This window comes from Homo sapiens, chromosome 7, assembly GCF_000001405.40.
Source record: "Homo sapiens chromosome 7, GRCh38.p14 Primary Assembly".
NCBI lineage: Eukaryota > Metazoa > Chordata > Mammalia > Primates > Hominidae > Homo > Homo sapiens.
In genome coordinates, this window is record NC_000007.14 from 44,132,550 (window position 1) to 44,158,967 (window position 26,418).

At 54.7% G+C, this 26,418-nt stretch overlaps 2 protein-coding genes and 1 long non-coding RNA gene across 15 annotated transcripts in view, besides 2 other annotated features; 1 reads left to right on the forward strand and 2 right to left on the reverse strand.

Annotated features, from left to right (window-relative positions):
- Positions 5,937-6,437: an enhancer, noted in NCBI's record as "H3K4me1 hESC enhancer chr7:44178085-44178585 (GRCh37/hg19 assembly coordinates)". NCBI's record gives its function as "activates a minimal SCP1, AML or CMV promoter by ChIP-STARR-seq in primed H9 embryonic stem cells {active_cell/tissue: H9 hESC(primed)}" and the evidence as "EXISTENCE:reporter gene assay evidence [ECO:0000049][PMID:30033119]".
- MYL7 (myosin light chain 7) lies at positions 6,315-8,783 on the reverse strand. Of its 6 annotated transcripts, none has more exons than NM_021223.3 (7): positions 8,754-8,783; positions 8,412-8,525; positions 8,163-8,238; positions 7,774-7,878; positions 7,233-7,311; positions 6,972-7,020; positions 6,315-6,473 (listed from the first exon to the last, which is right to left on the reverse strand). In NM_021223.3, the coding sequence occupies exons 1-7, from the start codon at positions 8,754-8,756 to the stop codon at positions 6,372-6,374; spliced, it is 528 nt and encodes a 175-aa protein (NP_067046.1). In that variant the 5' UTR covers positions 8,757-8,783; the 3' UTR covers positions 6,315-6,371. The 6 variants fall into 6 exon arrangements, with proteins under 6 accessions (NP_067046.1, XP_011513766.1, XP_024302619.1 ...); XM_011515464.3 differs by having other exon boundaries at positions 6,873-7,020; XM_024446851.2 differs by having other exon boundaries at positions 8,163-8,307.
- Positions 7,595-8,437: an enhancer, noted in NCBI's record as "H3K4me1 hESC enhancer chr7:44179743-44180585 (GRCh37/hg19 assembly coordinates)". NCBI's record gives its function as "activates a minimal SCP1, AML or CMV promoter by ChIP-STARR-seq in primed H9 embryonic stem cells {active_cell/tissue: H9 hESC(primed)}" and the evidence as "EXISTENCE:reporter gene assay evidence [ECO:0000049][PMID:30033119]".
- Positions 10,664-26,418, reverse strand: part of GCK (glucokinase) — a 46,227-nt gene continuing 30,472 nt past the window's right edge. For 2 of the 8 annotated variants that reach the window (NM_000162.5, NM_033507.3), the window contains exons 2-10: positions 20,752-20,914; positions 19,722-19,876; positions 18,407-18,526; positions 17,420-17,515; positions 17,211-17,310; positions 15,101-15,284; positions 13,914-14,069; positions 12,948-13,181; positions 11,726-12,731 (exon numbers count right to left, since the gene is read on the reverse strand). In NM_000162.5, coding sequence (NP_000153.1) covers positions 12,587-12,731; positions 12,948-13,181; positions 13,914-14,069; positions 15,101-15,284; positions 17,211-17,310; positions 17,420-17,515; positions 18,407-18,526; positions 19,722-19,876; positions 20,752-20,914 — 1,353 coding nt within the window. In that variant the 3' untranslated portion in view covers positions 11,726-12,586. Of the gene's footprint in view, positions 11,688-11,721; positions 12,732-12,947; positions 13,182-13,359; positions 13,596-13,913; positions 14,085-15,100; positions 15,285-17,210; positions 17,311-17,419; positions 17,516-18,406; positions 18,527-19,721; positions 19,877-20,751; positions 20,915-25,523; positions 25,648-26,418 lie in introns of those variants that run through there. The other 6 variants (NM_001354800.1, NM_033508.3, NM_001354802.1 and 3 more) reach the window with 6 other exon arrangements.
- Positions 15,102-17,387, forward strand: LOC105375258 (uncharacterized). The gene is made up of 3 exons (XR_927223.3): positions 15,102-15,199; positions 16,622-16,742; positions 17,140-17,387. It is a non-coding gene; the product is annotated as an uncharacterized LOC105375258 (long non-coding RNA).

Consider the following 26,418-nt stretch of genomic DNA (forward strand, 5'->3'; position numbering starts at 1 on the left):
CTCTACGAAAAAGAGCGAAAACACAACACAACAGGGTCCCGACCCATGCCAACCAGGAGGGAGCCTTTGGGCAGCAGCCCTTGCTGCGCACCTGGGCCAACTTGGCCAGCACTCTCTGTGGGAGAGGCCACTCACCCCCATGCCCTCCCTGGGCAAGGCTGAGGCTCTTGAGGGGTGGAACATCAGGCATGTTGGGGACATAATCGAAAACAAAAATCTCCTGCCAATGCAGAAAACCTTTCCACAAAAGAAGAGAAAGAAAAATTTAATTATTGAATAGGCATTAAACAGATTGCGATGCTCATCACAGATAATCTGCTAATAAATTACAAAGGCAGAAAGAAGTCTCACGCTTGTATATAACCAGGTGCAACCCATCCCGTACACGTTCTCAAGGGAAACGTCACAGGTGCTCAGGTAAGAGGACTTGACAGCACCAGTGGTCACACACAGTTCTCTGTGAATCCCCAGGTAACTGTGGTGGCTACCTGGGTTTGCCTAAAGGAAAAAAAATAAATTCATTCCTTTAAGACTGGAAGTGTGTTTGCAACTTGAGCTAGGCACCGGGCTAAAGTTAGGCTCCCCTTTGCCCACGGAAACTGGGAGATAAGGATGTATCTCCCTTGGTGATTACACTTCAAATGGTGGCTCCTAGGTCCTTAAGGAGACATTCCTGGGATGTGAAACTTGAAAGAGGCTTATTTAGCTTTTGAACAGATCTACATAAAAAAAGTCCAGGAAGGAACTTGCAATGATAGATTTTCTAAAGAAAAAGGAGAGGGGAAAGTCTTTTTTTTTTTTTTTCACCAAGGAGAATAAACTTATTCTCATTTTTAATTTGCATTTGCCCTTCTGGTGCCTCAAAGCTAGGGTTAGGGCACTTGGGCAGCACAGCCGGCCTCTGCCCTGACTAGAGGTTGTCCTAGGGAATAAAATGCAGATTCTGACTCTGAGCCCCAGGTGAGGCCTGCACTGCGAGGGAAGAGGCTCCCTCGGGCCTTTGTTTGCATCCAGGGTCTTCAGGGTGTTGGGGCAGGGATGGAGGAGGGGAAGGTCAGACTAATGGGATGATGCTTTTTTTGCCTTTTATTTTTGTATATTTTTAATGTTAAAAAGAAAAGCCTAATTACCACAAATTGCAAAGGACTAAAGACGTCTAGAATAATGAATGAATCACTTCAGCCTGGAAAGCAGATACTGTCAATCCTATTAATGTTATACAAGCCCCTTCAAGTATTTTACATTTCTTTTTTTTTGTTCTTTTATTTTGTTGTATTTTATTATTATTATTTTTTGAGATGGAGTCTCGGTTTGTCGCCCAGGCTGGTGTGCAGTGGCACGATCTCAGCTCACTGCATCCTCTGCCTCCTGGGTTCAAGTGATTCTCTTGCTTCAGCCTCCCAAGTAGTTGGGATTGTAGGCACATGCCACGACACCCAGCTAATTTTTGTATTTTTAATAGAGATGGGGTTTCGCCATGTTGGTCAGGCTGGTCTTGAACTCCTGGCCTCAGGTAATCCACCTGCCTCAGCCTCCCAAAGTGCTAGGATTACAAGCATGAGCCACTGCCTGGCCTTTTTTGTCCTTTTAAATGTGATATCCTAGTACATAGTAAAGATAATGTACTATGAGCATAAGGTGGAACCTTCTCTGCAGACCCAGATGACAAGTTCCCCTCGCCAGAGAAGTGGGCTGGAAGTTCTTACCTTCTCTGCCATCAGCATGGCTGAAGGGAGAGAGTGGGGAAAATCCAGAGACCGGTCCACAAAGGAGGTACTCTGGGTTCCATTCAGGAGGGTGCCAGATGATTCTTCTGCTATCAGACTGAACGTGAGTTCTTGGCAGAGGAGAAGGGGCAGAAACTGATGGAAGTCCCTCCAGAGAGATGGGAAGGCTCTGGACAGTCCCAGTGAGGGCAACAGGCCTGCTCATGCACAGTCAGGGGGCTTGAGCCAGAGCAGGGCTCCATGGGGGGTTGTGTGGCAGGGACACCCAGGACCAGGAGCTCTGGGACATCTGGAGCGAGCGCCTTGGCTCAGATGGAGGTGTCCTTAGAGTGGCAAGGCTTCTGAGGCTTCTAGAAAGACAGGAAAGGTAAGGGGCAGTGGGTTTATGAGGAGGCTTCTGGTGAGGCTCCCCTTGGGGCCCCCAGGAACAAGTAGGGTGCAGGGTTGTGGTGGTGGGAGTGTGGAGGAGGCTGGTCCTGAGTCACGCAGAACTGGGGCACAGTAGGGGCATTTAGGCCTTTGGGTCCTATATTCTTCCTTCCTCCCTTCCTCCCTCCTTCCCTCCTTCCCTCCTTCCTTCCTTCCCTTCTTTCTTTTCTTTCTCACAAGGTCTCGCTCTGTCACCCAGGCTGGAGTGCAGTGGCACGATCATGGCTTACTGCAGCCTGGACCTGGTTCAAGCTCCCTGAATATCTGGGACTATAGGTGCGCACCACCACAACAGGCTAATTTTTTTATTTTTTGAAGAGATGGGTTTTTGCCATGTTGCCCAGGTTGGTCTTGCACTCCTGGTCTTAAGCAATCCTCCCTTCTCTGCCTCCCAAAGTGTTGGGATCACAGGTATGAGTCACTGCGCCTGGCCCTGTTGCATGTCTTTCTTTCTCTGTCTCTATTTTTTTTTTTTTTACTAGGGTCTCACTTTGTCACCCAGGCTGGAGTGCAATTGCAGAATCCTGGCTCACTGCTGCCTCAACCTCCCAGTCTCAAGCAATCCTCTGCCTTGGCCTCCCAAGTAGCTGGGATTTCAGGCGTGAGCCGTCATGCTTAGTTACCTGTTGTATTTCTTTTCTTTTCTTTCTTTCTTTTTTTTTTTTCTAAGAGGGAGCCTTGCTCTGTTTTCCAACTGGGAGCTGTTGCCTGGCAATGGCTGGTGGGACCCAGGCCAGGACCACACAGGGCTCACAGTGAGCAGGGCCCTGCAGGCCTGGCCAGGGGGCATCTACCTCCCCCAGAGGGAGCTTTCCTTTCAGTGGGTGGACAACATGGAGCTGGTTTTCCCCCTCCCAGAGCTCTCCCCAGCCATGCCCACCTCACACCCCCTTATGTCCAACATCCTCAGGTGTAGACTGTTAGACACTCCACATAAGGGATGCCTGAGCTTCACCTGAGGAACAAGTTTGGTCTCACAAGTAATTCGTATGATCTCTGCTTTCTGGAAACAGCCTTCTCTCCTTTCTGTCTGTACTGCTAGAATACTCAGAGGCAACCCTACCCAAATGAAATTGGCTCCTTTTGAGGACATCAAAACTGCTGCTCCCTGCTGCAAGTACTCTCTGCAGAGAAGGCTAATGCCTGCCTCAGAGTCTCCCAGAAACTGCAGTCTTTATTTATTTATTTATTTTTATTCTACTTTTTTTTTTTTGAGATGGAGTCTTGCTCTGTCATCTAGGCTGGAGTGCAGTGGCTTGATCTTGGCTCACTGCAACCTCCCCTTCTGGGTTCAAGAGATTCTCCTGCCTCAGCCTCCCTAGTAGCTGGGACTACAGGCATGCACTACCACACCTGGCTAATTTCTGTATTTTTAGTAGAGACAGGGTTTCACCACGTTAGCCAGGCTTATCTCAAACTCCTGACCTCAGGTGATCTGCCCGCCTCGGCCTCCCAAAGTGCTGGGATTATAGGCGTGAGCCACGGTGTTCGGCCTGGAAACTGCAGTCTTAAATAGACGTACTACACAGTCTAACTCAGTGCTTTCCAACAGGAGTGAAAGCCAGAAATGCAAGCCACTTATGGAATTCTAAATATTCTAGTAGCCACATTTAAAAAGTGAAAAGAAATAGGTGAAATTAATTTTAGTAATAATCTAATATCCAAAACATTATCATTTCAACATGTGATCTATATAAAAGTTATTAATGAGATGTTTGCATTCTTTTTTGTATGAAATCTTCAAAATATTGTGTGCATTTTACACTTTTGGCATATCCCAACTCACACCACATTTCAAGTGGCCAGTGGCTGTCATATTGGTCAGTGTAGGCTGAACTCATGTCCTGGGTCTGTGCCCATCTGTTTCTCTCTATCCTTCTGTCTCTCTCTTTTGTCTCTCTCTCTCTCTCACACACACACACACACAAACACACACACCACATACACACACCATATACATTCTACCCTCAGTTTATTCCAAACAACACTAATACAGGCAGTTTTGGTGTGGGAAGGACTAACCTTATCAGACAACTATATCAGGAGTGTGAAAGGATAATATTTTTAAAGCAAAATATTGACTTGCATACTAAGTGAACAACCGCCAAATATTTTATTTACTTGTGAATTCATGTGGGAATCAATAAGATGTGACAGCCCAAGGAGCTGGGCAGTGCTCATCTTGTGGCTTATTCCTGGGCCTGGTTCAGAGAAGAATTCAAAGAGCCGGTGCATGTGTAGACGGTTAGGAATGCCCAGATGAATTTGCTTAATAGATGCAAAATTGGCTTCTTCCACAGAGAAGGGAAAAATCAGTTGTGCTTCCACTGGACAACATTTATTTGCACGTTAATAGAGAAGAACCATTGCCTTGCTATTAGTTATAATTTAGAGTTGTGGCAGGGCACGGTGGCTCACCCCTGTAATCCCAGCACTTTGGGAGGCAGAGGCAGGTGGATCAACGGAGGTCAGGAGTTCGAGACCAGCCTGGCTAACATGGTGAAACCACGTCTCTATTAAAAATACAAAAATTAGCCAGGCAAGGTGTGCCCATCTGTAATACTAGCTACTTGGGAGGGTGAGGCATGAGAATCACTTGAACCTGGGAGGTGGAGGTTGCAGTGAGCTGAGATCATGCCACTGCACTCCAGCCTGGGTGACAGAGAGAGACTCTGTCTCAAAAATAATAATAATAATTTAGAGAGTTTTGAAACAGCTCAAAGATAACAAAAGGTTCAGACACCCCATCAAATCAGATAACTGGACACCTATGATCTTTTTGGTTCATTTTAGTCTTTCACAATTTACCCCTGTAGAGCTTGGATTATAACATGATCCCTTACTTTATGAAATCAGCTTGTTGAACAAGCAGACTCATGTGGTAGAATCCTAATGGTACTTGATTTTGTTCATCCACTGTTCCAGCATGGTCAGTGGAGTGGGCTGGTGGCCTGCTTTCAGGATGGAAACTCAGGCAGTTCGTGACTTTTGTAATCTCTCTAAGCAACAGAAAATGCCATAATTCCAGAAAGTCTCAAGTTTCAATTTAGTAATTAAATTGCCAGGCGCCAGATAAAATCAAAACTGAACACCTGTCTGGGTGAAAACGCCTTTCCTCTTGGGGCCTTCAGGAAGGGGTGCCCCTCCTTTCTCGCTCACCTCCTTCCCACTGACCCCCAGGTACAGGGATTGCAGCAGGGCTTGTGGGGAGGGAAGGAGGCAAGCTGAGAGCTCTTACTGGGCTGTCCTGTAGGCAGGAGACTTTGTATGCTCTGGATCTGGCTGAGGTTTGAGCTGTCACTGCCTGTCTCTCTGTCTCTGTTTCTCTCTCTGGTGCTTTGGATGTCCCCTGCTGCTCCTCTGGTACTCATGAGGATCACTTTCTCCTCTAGCTCTTGGGTTCTCAGATGAAGGGTGACGGGAGCACTAACTATTCTCTCCTGAGAAGTCGTCTCCCTACACTCCAGCTGTCTGACCCTCTTACCCCTCACGGCGCATGAGGGGCTCAGGAGGCATGATGCCAGGTTCTGGGCATTTCCTCTAGAAATTTGCATGTTACCTGGCCCCTGCTTTGGTGTCCATGTTCCTCATGTCTTAGTGCCTTGCCTGTATTTGCAATGAGAAGCTGGTTGTGTTTCAAATGGGTACCTCTCTGCCTTTCACAAAGGGCCCATGCAGGGAGGCACCCAAGCCAGTGTATTGAGATGGGGTGCGAGCAGTGGGCCAGGGGAGGCTGTGTGGTTGGGTGTGGGGGTCCCAGGGCTGCTGCCCACCCGCTGGGCTGTTGGGCAGAGTTTGCTGAGTGCCCAGCAAGCAGCCTCTTCTCTGCACAGCCCCAAGTAGCTGGGCAGTGCCCACTTTGTGGCTCATTCCTGGGCTTGGTGGAGGTGGTGTAAATCCCACCATCTCCTCTTCTAGAGGGCTGGCCTTGGTAAGATGCTCACACTTTCTGGGCCTCAGTGTCCTCATCTGTAAACTAGGCATGATCATAGTTCACACTTCACTTGGCATCATGGGAGTGAATCAAGGTGAGCTGGCGAGGGGCCAGCTCCCAGGAGGTAGATGGTGGCCATGATCATGGTGATGTGCGCACTGAGACCCTGGGATCCCCCTTGGCTGGTCCCCAACCCATCTGTCACAGACAAGACACCACAGCAATTCCAATTTTGCAACAGAGTTTATTGAGGTGCCCCCCCGTGGGCCTGGCCCTGCCCCTCATTCCTCTTTCTCGTCTCCATGGGTGATGATGTAGCACAGTGACTTGTAGTCGATGTTCCCCGCCAGGTCCATGGGTGTCAGGGCGAACATCTGCTCCACCTGCAGGGGACACTGGTGAGTGGCAGTCCCCTGGCTCCTGGCCCAGCCCGGCAGAGACCTCACCTGAGTCCTGTGGCCTTTCTGTCTGCCCCCTGCATCTGTGCTTTTTGCCTTAGCTTTTCAACCCTAGACCCCAGACTCTGGGTTAATGTTTTTCTCTTGGCTGACTCTGGGCAGAGTGAGGAGTCAGTGCAAATGTGGGCCAAGAGGCAAAGGACGCCCCTCCAGCCACAGGCACAGGCCCACCCCGAGTGTACGAAACCTCTCCCTATCCACTTCCCCCCAGGTCTGTGCACAGTCTCCCTGCCTGGCGCACCCTGCCCTCTTTTCTGACTCCACATCTTTACCCTCTAGGTCTCAACAGAGATGGCACCTCCTCCAGAAGGGCCCTCGGCTCACCCTTCCAGCAACTGCCTCACTGGTACTGGGCTCTGGGTCATGGGTGAAGGCCCAGAGAAGGTGCTGGGGATGAGTATTGAAGGGGCTGGGCAGCCTCACCTCAGCTGGAGAGAACTTGTCTGCCTGGGTCAGGAGAAGCTGCTTGAACCTGGGGGGTGAGGAGGGTCTGAGCAGGAGACTGCGGGGGAGTGACTGCACAGGGAAGGTGGGTACGGAGGCTCCCATGGCGCAGGGAAGGGTTGGCTGCACCCCAAAGAGCAGTGTAAGGCCCCGAAGCACAGGCAGCCCCCCTCACTAGGGGCCTCACCCCGCTCTCTGCTTCCACCACGGTGCTCCTCATCTGGCTGGGCCCATACTTACTCATCCTTGTTCACCACCCCTTTGCCGCTGGGGTCAAACATGCGGAAGGCACTCAGGATGGCTTCCTCGGGGTCTGTCCCTGGAAGGCCGAGGCAGCCAGGTGAGCATCCATGTCTCCAGCATCCCAGGTCCCCCGCAGGAGGAACTGGGCTGCATGAGGAGCCTCCCACATCCCAGAAGAGGTGGGGGTATTCCCTAACATAAAATGTTTCTCGGGGATCAGTGGGGCTGGGAATGGTCATCCTCCTGAGGCGGGCAGCTTGGCTGGGAGACTGGAATTTGGGGGTGGGGGCTGAAGGCACATTTCCTGGCTCCAAGTCAGCACTGGGGTGACCAGTGCACATGGGATTCTGGGGCAGAGGATGTGCTTGGAATGGGTCATGGCCAGGAAGAGTCCAGGTGGGTCCAGGTGGGGTTCAGTTAGGGTTCAGGTGGGGTTCATGTAAGGTTCAGGTGGGGTTCAGGCAGGGTTCAGGTGGGGTTCAGGCAGGGTGCAGGCTCCCTGCCTGGCCAAGGGTGCCCAGCTCTGTCCCAGGCTCACCATTGAGCTTCTCCCCAAAGAGCGTGAGGAAGACGGTGAAGTTGATGGGGCCCTTGCCCTCTTGCAGCATGGCGTCCAGCTCCTCCTCTGGGACACTCACCTTCCCTGGTGGGGGTGGGGCATGAGGTGCACACAGGGACCCTGGGTGTCCCCCAGAAGGCCCAGGCCGCCCTCCCTCCATCCTGGCCACAGGGGCTGGAGGGGCAGAGGCAGCTGTGGGTCGGGAAGGTGAAGTGGAAGCAAGGCGTGACAAGGGGGGAAGGGCAGTGTGAGGAGACGGGGAGGAGGGGAAGCAGGGGAGCAGAGTCCTGTCCCCCCAGCCACTCCCACCCGCCCAGCAGCTCAGAGTAGGGACCCCAGTGCGCAGGGTGGGAGGTGGGTGCACGCACCCAGCTGGGAGTAGGTCTCCCTCAGGTCTGCCTTGCAGATGATGCCATCACGATTCTGGTCGATACAGCTGAAGGCCTGTGGGATGGGGGCCTTCAGGTGGGAGCAGCCCCCAGCTCTAGGGAAGGTGGGAGGTGGGGGAGAGACCTGGGTGGTGTGAGAGGCAAGGTCAGGGTAGAAGGGGGGTATGTATGTGGGGTGGGGTGGGGGGGCCAGGATGGGATCTGAGGCTACTGGGAGTGGGCACTCACTTCTTTGAACTCCTGTATCTGGGCTTGTTCAAACATGGAAAAGACGTTGGAAGAACCACGTTGGGCCTGCTTGGTGGCTGCCACCTTGCCCCGGGTCCCCGCCTTCCTGCTGGCCTGCAACACTGTGAGTAGGGAGGGGTCCTCTCCCCAACTCCTCAGAGTCTCCCCACCCCACCCATCATGCACAGTCCCAGAGCATTCCCAGGAGAGCCAGGGCCAGGATCCTCTTCCTCTCCCTGGGGACCACCCTCAACCCAACACAAGCACAGAAAACTCTGCTCCCCCAGCCCAAAGGCCAGCACCTGGGAGACCGCTAGCCTTTCTTCCCCAGCAGGCACTCACCATTCTCTCTGCAGAGGTGTGGCTGCTGTCGTGGTGGCAGGGCCCAGCCTCCTTTATGTCTCAGCCTTATCACCTGAAGGTCCAAATAAGGAGAGGAACAGAGGATAGGCCCAAACTTGGCAGCCCCCGCCTGGGCTGGGGGAGGCCTAACAGATTCCAGCCACATTCCTGATGACCTTCATGTCCTCAACGTGTAACATCCTGCTGTCTATCCATCCTGGCAGGGCCAGACACAATGTCTGCCTGGAGCAGAGCAGGCTCAAAGCTCTCACCACCCTAGGTCCTGATGAAGGGATCCAGTTACTCCTGTATCTGACCACCCCTCCTTGCCAGTCCAGCCAGAACCCTGGCCAGTGCAAGAAGACAGCTGGTGAGGGCCAGTCCAGGGCCCCCGCCAGGCATGGGAGGGCAGTGTGTAGTTCTGAGGATGGTCTGTGGCCTGAGACCCCCGGGGCTTCCCAGAGGTTTTGGTGACCCTAGGCTCTGACCTTTTGCCCCTCTGACCAAGGGGCAGAAGGCATCCCTGAGCTAGCTGTGACCCCAAGAAGAACACTTTGCTTGGCTTTGGGGCAATTCCAGAGGGTTAAGGAGCTCCATCAGCTGCCCTCCCATGCAGTCTACCTTGCTCCCAGTCTGCCCTGCTGTTTGGAGCCTTGCCTTCCTCAAGCCTCATCTCAACCACACTACTTCAGAATGCTCTCCCTAACATCCTCAGCAGGGAGCTTCTGGGGCACATTTCCCATTTGCCTGGTGGCTGATGTGTTTGTCATTCCTGGCTTCTGTGCCCCTCCTGAGCACCCCACCTGGTTGACATCTGTATCCCCAGAAGGCCTGGTGCACAGTGGGCCGATGGGCAGGCCTGCGTGATGCTGTTCCAGAGAAGCAGTCTCGCCAGCTTCTGGGGCCGAGGGCACAGCAGAGGGGCTGGGGAAACAGGGGACATCCTGGAGGCAGCAGGAGTGGGCCACCCCAGGCTGGGCTCACTGGCTGCTGCCCCTCCACTGGAGCCAGACCTATGTCTGTCAGTAGCTGGCTGGTAGAGTGCAGGAGCTCTTATCTGTCAGACCCAATACCCTTTTTATATAACAAGAGTTTTCTTTTAAATTTCTTAAATTCCCTTTTTTTTTTTTGAGACAGAGTCTCACTCTCGCACAGGCTGGAGTGCAGTGGCGCGATCTCAGCTCACTGCCACCTCTGCCTCCCGGGTTCAAGCCATTCTTGTTCCTCAGCCTCCCAAGCAGCTGGGATTATAGGCATGTGCCACCACACCCAGCTAATTTTTATATATATTTTTTATTTTATTTTATTTTTAGTAAAGACGGGGTTTTATCATGTTGGCCAGCCGGTCTCGAACTCCTGATCTTAGGTGATCTGCCTGCTTCAGCCTCCCAAAGTGCTAGGATTACAGGTGTAAGCCACTGAGCTCTGTCACCCAGGCTGGAGTGCAGTGGCATGAGTAGAGCTCACTGCAGACAACCTCCTGGGCTCAAGTGCTCCTTCCTGCCTCAGCCTCTGGAGTAGTTGGGACTACAGGTGCACACCACCCTGCCCAGTGTTTTTTTTTTCTTTTTTTAATTAATTAATTCATTTTTGAGACAGAGTTTCGCTCTGTTGCCCAGGCTGGAGTGCAGTGGTGCAATCTCTGCTCACTGCAACCTCCGCCTCCTGGGTTCAAGCAATTCTTCTGCCTCAGCCTCCTGAGTAGCTGGGATTATAAGCACCCGCCATCATGCCCGGCTAATTTTTGTATTTTTAGTAGAGTTGGGGTTTCACCATGTTGGCCAGGCTGATCTCGAACTCCTGACCTTTTGATCCACCTGCTTTGGCTTCCCAAAGTGCTGGGATTACAGGCATGAGCCACCGCGCCCAGCAGTGCCCCCCCGCCCCACCCTTTTTTTTTTAAGAGATGGGGTCTTGCTATGTTGCCCCAGGCTGGTCTCAAATTCCTGGCCTCAAGCAATCCTCCACCTCAGCCTCTCAAAGCACTGAGATTATAGGCATGAGCCATCACACTGGCCCATAACAAGTGTTTTATGACACCTCCTTTGTTATCTAGAAAAGAAATTCATTTTATCTATTTCAATTCAGTCATATAACCTACCTACGAATAGAATTTTAATAATTAATACAATGTCCTGAACTGTAATATAAAGGAGAAATAGAAAGCAATTGATATTAAAATGTGTTCCACTCTGTGAATGCTTGAGCATAACAGTAATGATAACAAAATAATCAGATGCTTGCACCAACTTATAAGGAATAATTTAGACTCAAGAGAACTAAGAAGAGCCAAAGCAATTCCACATGAGAAGTAGCAGAAAACAAGAAATCTGAAGGGGGACATGACTTTTCAAAATCACAACTTTGGGTTATGATCTGAAGGAAACAAAACAGTTGTTCCTAATTAGCTGGGTAATATCTCTCATCAAAAAAGGAATGCATGAAAATCACACAAATATGTTTCTATGTCACTGTATTTTATGCTGCAGAAAGATGGCATTATGCCTACGCTTGGCTAACTCTAAATAGGCGTTCCACTGACAGGAGCATCTGGAGGGACCTTAGAAATCCAACATGTATCTGGGCCCCTACTCACTGGCAAACCTAAGTGACTCTGACTGGACAGGACGGTGCTGAGACTGACCTGCAGCAGGACCAGCCTCATTCCCCCACTTCTCCAGAGCAGCACCTGGCCTGGCACTCCCTCTGCACACATTCCATGGGCAGGCAAGCAGGGGCCCGGGCCAGGCAGTGTACTGTCCACTGCTCTGCCATCCCCCATGACACCCCATTCCTGTTCCTACAGCCTGGTCTGTCACTCCTCACACTCCCCTTGGCACAGATGGCTGGAGGAGCTGTCTGGAGGGCATTGCCGAGATACTGAAGTGTCTTCATGCATGTGACGCAGACTCTTTATAGATTGTCCCCACAGTCCTAATGCACAGAAGTCAAAGAACAGTGGACAGGCCATGTTTAAAACTTTTAACATTTTTAATTAAAAAACCCACACAATCTTAGGTTGGGCATGGAGAGGGTGGCATGTCATATGATGGGGTTGTCCCTTGGGGTGTGCTGAATGCTGCTTGGGGTTTCTTCCTGAGCCAGCGCTATGGGAGCTGAAGATGTAGGGCTGGCCCTTCTCCCCTTTGTGGGCCCCTTGGGGCAGAGGCTTGGGGGCTCTGTCTCTTGCACCTGCTGCGAGGGTCCATCCCAGAATCACAAGCCACTCAGTGATGGTATGGGAGAGAAAAGGTCTCTGGGGGTATTCAAAGCTTGGGACACCTCCTCCATGGAGCCCCCTCCCATTGCTCCCTGGGCCTCTTGAGCCTCAGGCAAGAAAATGGCCAGGACTGGGTGATGAGCAGCCCCTGGCTGCCCTTTTGGCCCAGGTCTAGGTCTGGTCAAGCTGTTGGAGCTGCCTCCCCACACAGGATGAGTTCCCAGGGAAGTGAGGCCACAGCAGGATCCAGAGGGCACCCCTTCCCAGAGCCTGGGCCCAGGCGAGGCCAACAGCTCTGACAGTGTGGAAATGCATCAAAGTCCTGAGTGAGCAACTCCCTTCTGGGAAATTGATTCCAGCGAGAAAGGTGGGGGGCTTCCAGAGTCTCTGTTCCTGCTCCTGCCGCACCCCCGTTAGGGCCCTGGGGCTGTCCCACCGAAAAACTGAGGGAAGAGGCCCGCTCTGTTCCCCAGCGGTATGGCAGGCGGCCTGGGTCCTGACAAGGCCAGGCCTCCTGCCCCGCCAGGCTGCGAGCACGTGTGGGGAGCACTTCCCCATGGAGCCTGGGTGCTGTGGGGCTGTGGCATCCTCCCTGCGCTTGCGGCCACTGCTCTCACTGGCCCAGCATACAGGCCTTCTTACAGGCCACCGCCGAGACCAGGGCCGCGCCCCGGCCACTGCCCTCCTCCGACTCGATGAAGGTGATCTCGCAGCTGGGCGTCAGCCTGCGCACGCTGGCATGGAACCGCTCCTTGAAGCTGGGCAGAAGAGAAGCAGGGCTGCCGTCCCTCCTCCCACCTCATCCTCCACATTCATTACCGGGCGCCCTGCACGCAGTCGACCCTTCCCCCAAATCTAGGCCAAGGGGGACGAGAAGAGGACTACGAAATCTTGGAGCTTGGGAACCGCAAGGAACCTTGGAGCGCGCGCTTTTTGGGCCCCACTTTACCAGGGAGAGAGCGGGGCGGGCTCACCTGGGGTGCAGCTTGTACACGGAGCCATCCACGCCCACAGTGATGCGCATTACGTCCTCGCTGCGGCTCTCGCGCATGCGGTTGATGACGCCCGCCAGCCCCGCCGAGCACATGTGCGCAGCGCGCGTAGACACGCTCTCGCAGGCGCGGCGCACGATGTCGCAGTCGGTGGTCGAGGGTCGCAGCCCCAGCGTGCTCAGGATGTTGTAGATCTGCTTGCGGTCGCCCGTGTCGCTGCGGGGCGGGAGGAGGTAGGGCGGTCGCTGAGTGTCGCTCCGACAGTCCATCCCCCTCCAGCGGCGGCCTCTCGTTCTCCAGGGAGGGGCCCCGGCCAGCCGTCCCCCCAGCGGCGGCCTCTTTCCCTCGCTGAGCCGGGACCCCTCTCTGGAGAAATGGGGGCGATCCCGCTCACCTCACCCAGCCAAAGCGTTTCCGCCAGGGACTGGTTAGTACTGCCCCCTCTAACTAAGCCCAGGGTCTCCGTCCTAACGTGGGGGTGTCAACCATGCCGCGCCTTGGGGTTGTGAGTGATGTGAGAGGATGGCCACGGCGGGCAGGGAGCACCGAGGGGACTCACGGATGGGGACCAGTGCCCGGACGCAGGCTCGCTCCCATCCCTGCTCTTGGCATCCCCGTCCGGACCCCGCCTCCTCCCCTTGGGCCCTCCCCCTCCTCCCCGTCTCGGGCCCCGCCCCTCCCTTTGCATCCCCGTCCTGTCCCAGCCTCCTGCCCTTGGACCCGTCCCTGCCCCGCCCTCGCCTCCAGCGCCCGGCCTCGGGCCCCGCCCACTCCCCCGCCCCCTGTGCCCCGCCCCGGGCCCCGCCCACGCCCGGAATCCCGCCCCAGGCCCTAGTTTCCCATCCCTGCGCCCCGGGCCTGGGACTCAGCGTCGCCCTGAGACCAAGTCTGCAGTGCCCGGGCGTCCCCAGCCCCTGCCCTTTGCACCCACCCTCCTCCTCCGCACACCTCTCCACCTGCGACACGAAGCGCGTCTCGAAGGCTCCGCGTGTGCGCAGCTGCTCGGAGGCCTCCCCGTGGAAGAGCAGGTTTTCGTCCACGAGCCTGAGCAGCACAAGCCGCACCAGCTCGCCCATGTACTTGCCACCTATGAGCTTCTCATACCTGGACATAGGGCAGGTCCATTACATCAGCAGGCACGAGGGAGGGCCCCTCATGCAGGTGGAAGCCGGGAGCCGGCCCCACTGCTCCCCACTGAGGTCACGAGGCGGCCACGTGGGGCACTGCGATCCCCACTCCCCCAGCTGGTTCACGTCTTTCCCTCGTTAATGAGCCAGAGCTTTAGAAATGTCAGGGATTAGGAACGTGCACGTTCAAGTCAATCACGGGAGCAACTTTGGCCTGCCCCTGGGCCCACTGCAGTAAAGGGAAAGACAGATAGTTCAAAGACCCCATCCAGTCCCTCCGAAACCTTCCTTGCAGGGGGCCCTGCGCCGAGCACGGGACCTACAGCTTCAGTCTTCCTTTAGCTGCATCCAGAGCTGCTGTTCATTGGCCAGTTATGGTTGGGAAAACTAAGACTTGGAGGGTTAGTGCCCAGTCAGAGGCACGCACCATGTTGCTGGCACTTTCTTGCTTAATCTATGACCTTCCGTATTTAATTTAAATAAATCGAATACTACTGACCTATAATAATAGAGGCCTGCGAGCGGCAGAGAGGACGCTAATAAAGTAATTAGCATAGGCCTGGCACAGTAGGTGGTAAACAAGTGATAGCCATGATTAATGATGAGCTCTCTGTGGGTTGGTTTCCAAGCTGTGACTGTCAACCCGCAGCATTCCACAAAAGACTAATATTCTTTCTGTGAATGTGGCCAAATACATACTTTGGGGAATGTTGGGTTAAACCCAGGAACCTTGCTGGGGGCGTCTCAGAGCCTCCTCTGCATGCACGATCACCTGTCGGAAGGAAAGAGGTCTGGGCTTATCACATCACAACTGGGACTAACCCTTCATCTCTCACAGGGGCAGGTCATGACTGAGCAGAAGGGATGGAGCTTACGAACGGATTGTCAGTTTGCTTTTCCCCAGAGTTGTTTAAAAACAAGCCCATTATCTGCAATGGCCCGGCTCCCATCTGCCGCTGCACCAGAGCGGCCCAGGGCCTGGGTTGTGGGGGAGGGGGGCATCCTTACAGCTGCTGACCGGGGTTTGCAGAGCTCTCGTCCACCAGGCGGTCATACTCCAGCAGGAACTCGTCCAGCTCGCCGGAGTCCCCGAAGGCGCCCCACTCGGTATTGACGCACATGCGGCCCTCGTCCCCCTCCACCAGCTCCACATTCTGCATCTCCTCCATGTAGCAGGCATTGCAGCCCGTGCCTGGGGTGGAGGTCGGGGGGACTGTCAGCGAGAGCTGCACTGCCCCGGAGTAGGGCCTGGTTCCTGCCCACAGGAGTCCCTCTCCCGCTCCCCCATGCCTGTCTCTGCTTTGTCTGGAACAATGGAAAGGCGGCTCTCCCTGGGGCTGGAAGACCTGGGTTGCTTCAGTGGCCAGGGACAGCTTTCAGGGCTGTCCTCTTTCCTAACAGGCAACAGTAACACCTTCCCTGCCTGTTACCTAGGTGGTTGGGAGGACTGAGAGAAACAGTGTGTATCAAAGAAATGGTTGTGGGACGTTATCATTTTATTTTGTCTATGTACGACCCTTGTTTTCTGGCACTGTCCATGCACATGTTTGAGCTTCTTTGTCATGAGACATGTTTGGATGGCAACCCAAAGTGAGTAAGGCATGGTGTGGGCCCTTGGGAGCAGCCCAGAGGCTCCTGTAGACAATTCCGGATATGGAATTTTGTAATTTGCTGGCCCCTGTGCAGAGTGACAACATGGAGTCTTTTGTTCACAAGTTATTAAGAGTTTCAAACTGCTGACAGCAGAGCCTCAAGCTAGCATGACTGTGTGGGCTGCACACCCCCAAAGCTGTCAGGGACAGCAACTCAAATGCTGGTCAGTCGAGCTGCCACATAGGAATCAGGGCTCAGTGATGCTTAGACTTCCAGTTTTTATTTATTTATTTATTTATTTGGAGACAGAGTCTCACTCACTCCATCACCCAGGCTGGAGTGCAGTGGCGTGATCTTGGCTCACTGCAACCTCTGCCTCCAGGGTTTAAGCAATTCTCCTGCCTCAGTCTCCTGAGTACCTGGGATTACAGGCATGCGCCATCACACCCAGCTAATTTTTGTATTTTTAGTAGAGACGAGGTTACACCTTGTTGGCCAGCTAGTCTTCAAATCCTGACCTCAAGTGACCCGCCTGCCTTAGCCTCCCAAAGTGTTGGGATTACTGGCGTGAGCCACCTTGCCTGGCTGCCTTCTAGTTTTTTATGAACAAACAGAAATCCAGACTTTGATGTGAATTCTCCTAATTTTCAGATCTTGGTAATTGTTATAAACATGTTTTTAAACACTGAGCAGAGTCAAGAGTGGATGTGGGGCAGATGTGAGTGGTGGGTCACTCCTTGCCACCTCTGCCCCAGGAGGGGTTATGCCTGGGCCCAGCAGCTGCAGCTTGGCTTGGTGGGAATTCATGTGGAAGTGTCTTGGGGAGCCCCAGGCAGTTCCAGAGGATAGGGTGGAAAGGGCTGGGGGGATCACAGCCAGGGATGGCTGGGGCTCACGTTTAGATGCTGGATTTAAAGACAACGTTCCTTCTGAAAGGTGAAAATGGAAGTAAGAGAAGTATAGAACCACACGGCTGTGCGCACAGCAGATAACTGATCTGATTGGATTGCTCCTCAGTGAAGGCTGGTTATAATGACCTCCGGAACTTCTGAGAAAGGTCCGAGTTGGTGTGGAAGACCCCTCTGCTGGGAGGGGCGGACTGCTGCTCCCTTTCCTGGTACCTGCCTTCACTTTGGGTGGGGGCAGGGGCAGGGGCAGGCCCGTGGAAAGACCATTCGGGTGGAGATGGTACCACTTTTGCTTATCCTCTTCCACTTGGACCAATCTGTCCAGTTGGTCAATTTACCAGATAAGTGTTTTAATTATAATCCTGATGGGTGAGGTGGATATGCAGCTGGCATACCATCTGATGCAGGAATGTGGCATCATGGCGTTGAAATGCTTCCTACTGTACACGGTGCTTCCATCTTGATACCCCAAGACCACCCAGGCTGTAGCACCAGGCTCTGCTCTGACATCACCGGTTGTTAAGTAGTTTGGTCCTCACCCCACAGGGCCCTTGAAGCCTGTTGTACACAGGGAGCCTCAGCAGTCTGGAAGGGGCAGGGGTGCAAGGAGCCCTTACCCACGATCATGCCGACCTCGCACTGATGGTCTTCGTAGTAGCAGGAGATCATCGTGGCCACCGTGTCATTCACCATTGCCACCACATCCATTTCAAAGTCCTGCCAAGAAGCACAGAAGCTGCAGTGCTGGAAGCCAAGGAGAAAGGCAGGCAGTGCTGGGGTGGGTGGCCCAGGGCAGCCCCCCCGGCAGGTACAGGTGCCCCCTCACCCCTCTCCGTTTGATAGCGTCTCGCAGAAGCCCCACGACATTGTTCCCTTCTGCTCCTGAGGCCTTGAAGCCCTTGGTCCAGTTGAGAAGGATGCCCTGTGGGGAGAGATAGGCCTCGTGGCTGCTAACATATACTGGAGGCAGGGTGCTAGGGCCTGTCACTACCTCCTGCACAGGGCCATAAAAGTATGCACCCTACTTTACAGCTGAGGAAACAGGCTCAGAGCAGCCCCATAGCTTTGAGAGGTTTTGGGAACGATTCTCCTTGAAGATATCATATTTCTGCAGGGCTGAGTCCCAGCCAATTTAAGAATGTTGTACTGCACAGCTCTGAGACGTCATCCCAGAGTCAAGGCAGGGCGTGGGGGGAGCAGCTTTGTGTAAAATCAGGATTTCCCTCCTGCAAGGTACCCCGCTGCATGCACAGGTGCCACCTGGCCCTCTCTGTCTCTGTAGGGACTGGGGCTTGGAAAACCACATGAGATGTTGCTTTGGCTGCTGCTTCTGCCGTGAGTGAGGATCTGGCTTTCTCCCTGACCCAAAGGTCTCGTGTTTTATGTGTGTGCATATATAACTGTGTGTGTGTGTGCATGCACAGATGTAACTGGCAGGCCACTTTGCTAGCTTGCAGGAAGGGTAGAATCTCAGTTCCTTCACATTTCTGACTCAGCTAGAGGCAGTGTGACATGACCGTGGCCTGCAGGTGACCCAGAGCCCGGCTGCCTGAGTTTGAGCCCCACCCTACTGCCAGCTGCTCTTTCCACTGGAGTGGGGTGATCATAGCTGGTGCCTCACAAGGCGCACAGCCAGAATTAGCTAATGTGATGCTTCTTTTCCACAGCATTAGAGGTGGCAGGTGACATGGCCACAATTTGAATCCAGATCTCCCTTCTGAGCACATGGTATGGGGGCTACATTTGAAGGCAGAGTTCCTCTGGGGTGCCTGTGCCTCCCCTCATCTGCCTTCTGCCCCTCCACCCGGCCCACCTTATCGATGTCTTCGTGCCTCACAGGAAAGGAGAAGGTGAAGCCCAGGGGCAGCTTCTTGTGTTTCATCTGATGCTTGTCCAGGAAGTCGGAGATGCACTCAGAGATGTAGTCGAAGAGCTGGAAGATGCACGCCATGGTGACCATCTGGCATGGGGGGGTGCGCTGGCCGGCAGCCCTCCCCACGGCCTCAAGCCAAGCTATTCCTCAGGGACACTGCAACACCTGGCCACTGAATGCCAGGCCTGTCCACAGTTTCCCTCTCCTCTTCCGCTGCTGCTTGTTGGGCTCAGGCCCTAAGCCTCCCCCATGCCAGAGACCTGCTGACAGTGGCCCTCGGGACAAGGCAACACAGGGCAGGCTGGTCCCTGGCCCGGCTGTGCTCTGTCAGCCTAGCCCTCCCAGCTGAACCTTGTGAGGTTCAGCCTCAGGCCTGGCCAGCTATTCCTGAGGCTCCACATGGAGGCACATCCTTGATTTCTGTCTCCAGCACCCGGAGTCTCCTTTTCTACTTCTAGGGGCCCTGGCCACCCATCCTTACTGAAGACCAGCCCCGACTCCCCTCACACGGGCCTCTCCATGGAACTGGATACTGCTGAATGCTCTGCTGACTGACCAGGCTCCTCACTGGCTGCTGGGGCCAGGGAGGTCCCCACACCATCCCACTGCCTTGATTCACACCCAGCCCACAGACAGACTAGCAAGCTGCAGGGGTGTGAGGACGGGTAGCCACGGGCAGCCTCCTGCCTCCTGCCTCGGAGCCCTGCCCTTCCAGGAGCTGGCCTTGGCCATGTGCTTGGCTGCAGCTAGGGCTCTGGCCTTGCCCAACTCCCCCTAGGCCTCATTCTGCTTCTATGTTCCCTGCACCCCAGTCCTCCCCATGGTCAGGGGTCCTTGCTGCCTGGGTAGACATTGTGATTGCTGTCACCCCACTTTCTGTGCATGCTGGTGGAGGGTGAGGGGTGGCCTTTGGAGAGGGGGGCAGTGCACTGGCTGCCGGGTCACATTTCTGTTCTTACACATTGGTTTTTCCTCTGGTAAACTGGACAAGGTGTGACTGGCTGGGGTTCCTCTTGCCACTAACTCTTCCTCAGCCCGTTCCCCTCTCAATGCTGGCCAGATGGTGACTGTGGGACTTGGGGACATGTTGGCCAGTCCTGTTCACCCAGGCCTCCAGCTGCCTCTGAGGCTGGGTGGTCCTCCAGCCCCCGCTCTCCCCACCCCTGGTAGACAGGTGGCACCTCCCGTCAGGACTAGCTGGGCCCTGAGATCCTGCATGGCCTTGGCCCCCTGCCCCGGCCCCTGCGCTGCTCACCATCTCAGCAGTGCCGGTCATGGCGTCCTCGGGGATGGAGTACATCTGGTGTTTGGTCTTCACGCTCCACTGCCCCTCCTCACCTTCTCCCACCTTCACCAGCATCACCCTGAAGTTAGTGCCACCCAGGTCCAGGGAGAGGAAGTCCCCGACTTCTAAAGGCACAGAGAGAAGTGTGTCAGCCTCAGGGACACCCACAGGCTGGCCTTGGGCTGGGTGGGCCCCAGGTGACTGAGCCCGGATATTACAAAGAGGAGGAGGGAAGGCACAAGGGACTAAGGGAGCTGGACAAGGGGCCACCAGACACCTGGGGACACCAGTGTCAACTGTGGAAGGGGTCAAAGGTCAACCAGGGAAAAGTCAATGGGAAACTCCTGCCCTGGACAGTCACCGAGAGCCCAGGGACCAACTGAGGATCTAGTGCAATGGCCCAGCTGCAGAACTGGGCTGGGAGAGTTCCCTAAGTGCCCATGGGGAGCAGTGAGGTCTTTTTTTTTTTTTTTTTTTGAGATGGTGTCTCACCCTGTCACCCCAGGCTGGAGTGCAGTGGCGCGATTTTGGCTCACTGCAACCTCGGCCTCCCGGGTTCAAGCAATTCTTATGCCTCAGCCTCCCGAGTAGCTGGAACTACAGGAATGTGCCACCATGCCTGGATAATTTTTGTATTTTTAGTAGAGACGGGGTTTCACCATGTTGGGCAGGCTGGTCTCAAACTCCTGGCCTCAAGAGATCCGCCTGCTTTGGCCTCCCAAAGTGTTGAAGTTACAGGGGTGAGCCACTGCACCTGGCCAGGAGTGAGATTTAAAACGCCAGTTTTCCTGAGGTTTGCCAGCTCCAGGGTGAGCCCGAGTGCCCCAGGGCCGGACCAGAGGAGCCAAGGGTGAGAACTGGCCCAAGTCGAGGACTTCATTGCTCCCCAGGAGATTCTGTCTCGGGCTGGCTGTGAGTCTGGGAGTGCCTGGGGTGCTTCTCCCAGCTAGGGCTGAGCCCACAGCTGCTTCTGGATGAGGAGCCGGTTACCATGTGGTACCTGAGCCTTCTGGGGTGGAGCGCACGTAGGTGGGCAGCATCTTCACACTGGCCTCTTCATGGGTCTCCAGCCTCAGGCCGCGGTCCATCTCCTTCTGCATCCGTCTCATCACCTTCTTCAGGTCCTCCTCCTGCAGCTGGAACTCTGCCAGGATCTGCTCTACCTGCACAGGGAGGGGGATGGGAGCAGTCGGGCTGGGGAGGGGGTAGGCTGGGGACCTCAGGGTGGGGCTGTCACCAGGCATCTGCACACCGAGGGCCTCACGGGGCATCTCCCCCACACGCCATGGGCCTCCTTCTGTCTTCTGACCCCGGGGTCAGGATGACCCATCTTCTCAAACTTTACTACAGGTAAAACCAGCTGGAAAGTCAGAAGAGCAGAGTCTGGTACCAGCCACTCAACAAATGCAGCCCACAGCGTGTTGGAGGGGTGAGCAGCAGAGGGCAGAGTAGCTTCTGTCCCTGACGATATCCCTGTGGCACAGCGTCCTGTAGCACCCTGCTTCGTCCCTCAGGTCAGAGCCAGGGAAAGGAGGGGCTAACTGGGAGAGCTGGCGAGGTGGGGCTTGAGCCACCTGTCTGGAGGGTGCCAGGCAGCTGGCATTGCTGTCAGAGAGACCCAGTCCTCCTACTTGGGATTTACACAAGAAAATAAATGGGCCTGTCTGCACAGGTGTGCTAAGGGCCAGCCAGGAGTGAGTGTGAGTGTCTAGAAGGAGGTGTCTGCTGACTGAAGCCATCTGTGGCATGGGCACACTGGGCCACAGAACAAAGAGGGTCCCTATGCACTGATGTGAGAGACGCCTGGGCACACGAAGCTCAGATCTGATACTGCCACTCCCGTGAGCATGGACGGCCCATGGTGTGGCTGCTGGCTCTCCACATGGCAGTGTGAGGACAGGCCGTGAGTGCAGATGTGACTCTGCCTATGCATCCCCAGCAAGCTGGTGTGTGGACAGCTATGTGTCTGTCCACTGGGCACCCTAGTGCTATTCATGGAGAAAAGGCCATGTTAATGTGCTGGTTATCTCTGGGCAGTGGTGAGAAAAATAATCATAAGAATATTTTCATCTTGAATCAAAAAGAAAAAGGAAAGATGCTCTGATAAAAGCCGTGGATCCATTCCACAAAAACTCACACACTTTTGCCCACAGTCTTACACATAAGCTCAGAGGGTTGGAGATGCTCTGAATCCCAGCCAGGAGGCAAGACGGCCATTTTCCTCTTCTTCCTCAGTTTCTAGAACTCAGATTTTGTTGGTATGGGGAGCACATTGCGCCATGATTAATCTAAGGTGGGCACAGCAATTCTATACTCCTCTTACTGATGATCGGTCTAGAGTTGGGCATTTCACCCAGTTCTGGCCAATGACAGGTGAAGGGAAGCCTGATTTTAGCAGGGGAGGAGCTTCAATGTCCCCCTAAATTTGTAAACACAGCTGTGTAAGGATGTGATGGCCAGCGCTGTGATAGCCACCCTGCAACCATGAAGAAACAAGGCTGGAGGTTAAAGCTGTTAGCATACTGCAAATGTAGGGAAGAGAGAGTAATGCCAGATCCACCCTCCACGTGCAGCTTATGGGAGCAGACGCAAACCACTTATGCCACAGTGAGTCAGGTGTTTGTCTTCCTGCAGCCCAAAGCATTCCTAATGGATACAGATCTTTAGTTAAGAACCATGTCTCTTAATGAGGCCCCACATGTAAAATTTAAACTGAGGCAAGGTCAGAAAGGGATGGGGCTGATAAAGTCTGTGACAAAAGACACAGAATCAAACACCCATGTTGGCTGAGCAGGCACTGTTCCGAGGCTGTGAGCATGGGTGGGAGTGCACGCCCTCCCCGACCCCTAACCCTCCAATCCAGCTGCCCCTGCAGAGCACACCCCTGGAGATGTCCTCAGGGCTCTGTGGAACAATCCAGGCTGTCCTCAATGCCCCACAGCTACAACTTTTGCCTCCTCTGTCTTTCTTTCCTACACCCACCAATGTAGAGGATGCCAGGAACTAACTGTGAAGGCATCTGTCATTTGCTGAATTCCTCCATATGCCAGGCCCTGCATTAGGTGCTTCACATAGCAGCCTCACACACTATGCCCTGTCACCACAGCACCGGGGAGGAGGTGCCAGCAGCACCCATCTTGCAGATGAAGAAAGGCTTACAGAAGTCATTATTGCAGGCATGGGCAGCCAGCACACCATGGTGAGGCCAGCACCCAAATCCATGCACACAATGGCTACTGGCAGGAAGTCCTAGGACCCAATTATAAGATACCTGTGGGCTCTCAACAAAAGTGATGCTGCTCTTGCAAAGGTCCAGCCCTCACACCTGCCTGGCACCACCCTTGTGCCTCTCTCCAAGTGGCCCATCCTGGCAGCCACGGACCTGGACTCTGGTCCTTTGGCCCCAGGTTCTTCATGGGAGGAGCCAACATTTCAGTCTGAGGTCTTGGCGGAGGACAATGGCATGGAGCCTATGCCCAGGTGGCTGATCAGAGTGTGGCTGTATTGTCAGACAGTTGGGGCCCTTGAGTGATCCTCCCTTGCAGGGCTGTGGGGAGAACTGGCCCAGCCCTTGGAGAATAAGGAGAGCTAGGTACAAGTTGGCTGTTGTTTCTCTTATCACATGTTGGGAGGCTGGGCCCTGTAGGGTGTCGAGGAGGCTCAAGTCTTCCCCCTCTGTATCAAGGCCCACGTGTGGCCCTGCCACTGACTGGGTGAAGTCCTGGCTCTACTGCCTTCTAGGCCAGAAAGTTCTCCCCGAGGAATCCCGGTATTGGATGATGTCAAACTGATACCGTCTGTTCAGAGGGCAATTTGGAGTTTCTCTAAGTTTAACTTTGATCTGACAGTTTCTCTCCTAAGAATCTGTTCTGCAGCAAGAGGGCTGCAGGCATTTCCAAGATACACAGGGGGGTATCCTCTTGCTGCAACAGTGAGGACCCTCATATTCACTGTTGGGGACTTTAAATCAACACCGGGACACTTACCGCAGGGCCTCTTGTGGCCTTTCCCGTGAAGGAGACGTATAGGCATAAGTGAAAACGTGAGATGGGACCTGAGGTAGGACCTGATCCCATTTCTGTAAATAAAGTTGCATCTGGCCTGTGAATCTGATTTGTTCTGTATAATATTCTCAAAAGCTTAAATTTGCTGCCACCACTTAAAATCTACTTAAAATAGAGACACTTTTACACAAAAATCTGGATTTCTGTAAAAGTAGGTCTGTATTCTCTGTGGGCTGCAGGGAAGCAGGGGACATGGGGTGGGGGAGCCTGTCTCCCCACAGTGGCAGAACCGGCCAGGCTCTCCTGGCACAGGGCTCTTATCTGGGCCCCGCCCTAGCCAGATGCTACAGGGTCTCTGCATTGTCCACACCGCAGGGCCTATGAGGACCCCTCACACACTTCCCAGTGGGCATGGGTTGGAGGATAGATGCTGTCAGCTTCCGAGGCTGCAGTCACCAGTAGACCTGGGGGTTCACCTCTCATGTGGGGAGCATCCTCCAAAGGTGAGCCTTGTTCTTGGTGGGAACAAGCCCTTTCCTCAGGGTGCATCTGGGCCTGCAGAAGTTCCCCTCCTGGTGCAACCCCAGAGGAGGAAGCTCTGACCCAGCTTGGTCTCACAAGCCTGGGGGTCACATTGTGGAGCAGAGGTTGGCTTCACAGACTCCCAGGACAAGCCCAATGGCAGGGACTGAGGCTGATGCACACTTCCTGTGTGCCAGACCTGCTCTGGGCACCCCTCCCTATTATTGCTACAGCCACCCTGGGACATGGGTACTTTTATTATCTCCTTTTTTTATAAGTGAGGAAACTGGACACAGAGGTACAAACCCTTCCCCAAGCCCACAGAACCATAGGCCACAGAGGAGTTTGAACCCAGGCACTGGCTCCAAGCTTTCCTCTCACCTGGCCAGGCTGCATCCTGCCCGACTTCAGGCCCAGCACCAAGCTGTTCCTGGTGCCCAGACCCCAGCTACAAGTATCTCTCTGGCGAGCCTCATGCTGGGTGTCTGTGCAAACTTACAGGGCTTTCCCAAGCAGTGTAGGAAATGTGGTGGTACCTGGGGAGCCCTGAGAGCCTGGCGCCCCAGGTGTAGCCTCGGAAGAAGAGCACAGACAGAGCCTGTCCCTCCCCCTGGCAGCCTCTGGGAGGCAGCCCCAGCCAGCTTGCAGAGGTTTCTCTTGCTGACCTCACCCAAGAGGTCACAGGACACATAATCAGGGCCCACAGCCAAACGTACAACTTTTCTTGCCTGAGGACGCCCCCACACTCCCTGCAGGGCATCTGACCCTCATCTCTTCAGCAGATGCTCACTGAATGCCAGGTGCGGCACAGGGCACAGAAGCAGAGTTGACAGTGGGACCAACCCCTCTCAAGGGCGGGGATCTGCAGGAAAGAACCTCAGTCAAGTTGGGGACAGGCTGGGGGGTGAAGGAATGGGGACAGATGAAGAGGGACCAGGTCGGGCAGCTGCTGCCAGAAGATGGGAGCAGGGGACCTGCACTGAGGCTGGAGCAGAGGCGGGGAGGGAGGGAGTGAGGCTGAGCTGTGAGCAGCAGGAGGTGAGAAGCCTGGAGGCGCCGGGCTGCAGAGCAGGGGCATCTTGGGGCAGGGTGGAAGCAGGGCGTCAGGCTGTCCTAACAATCCCTGTGCAGGGATGCTGGGCGCAGGCTTGGTGAAAGCGATAAGAGTCTAGACTTATTCTGAAGGGAGGTGGGAGGGGCTGAGGAGAGGAACAGAAGGGCCTGGGAAGAAGAGGTTCCATCTGACCTGGGAGTTGGGTTGTGGGAGTTGGGATCTTGGTCTGGGCATGTTAACACATCTGCCAGCCAAGGGGCGATTTGTTCCAAGTAGCAGTTGGCCATGTGAGGCCCGAGTTCAGAGGAGAGTCTGGCTGGAGAGGTAGATGTGGAGCCATCAGTACAGAGACAGTCCTTAAGGCCACTGGCCTGGACATGGTCACCAGGGTGTACAGGTTGGATAGCAGTGGGAGAGGCGGAGCTGGTCAGGCAGGGCTGCCAGGGGCAGGATGCTGTCCCTTTTATGCAGTGAGCAGTGCTTTGTGACCCCACCTCCAGAACGCAGTAAAAAAGGCAGGATGCCTTCTAGTGCCGCCTTTGGCAGATGTGGACTGAGGAACTGTCTATTCCAGCACTGGGAGGGGCCGGCTGGTGGAGCTGTGGGTCCCTGAGGAAATGGCCAAGGGCCAGGGCAGTCCCTGGGCAGATGCTGCAGGCCTGGGGGCTCCAGAGCCCATCCGAGTGCCAGATGTCCAGCTGTAGCCTGGCCCCCTCCATTCCTGGGCCCTCAGGTGGCTATGTACACAGAAGTGAGTGGCCTTGGGCTAGTGCCCACATTCTCCTGAGGGACAGAATCCCTGATCCACCAACCCCTGGAAATGCCATGCAGAGCCCCCAGAGAGCCAGACAGCCCTGGGCAGCCAGCCAGCTCCCCCCATAAAAGCCCCAGGCCAGGCCCCGGACACTGGTGTCCTGGGTCACCGTTAGCTCCAGGAATAAGTACCCTAGAACCCCTCGAGAGGCTGGACACTGGATAGCCACAGTGAGGAGGGGTGGTGGGCAGAGGGCCAGTGGCAGGCACAGCTGCCCTAGCCAGGACCCCCAAGGCCCATGTGCCTCCTTCCAAGGTGCCCCAAGCCTGCTCG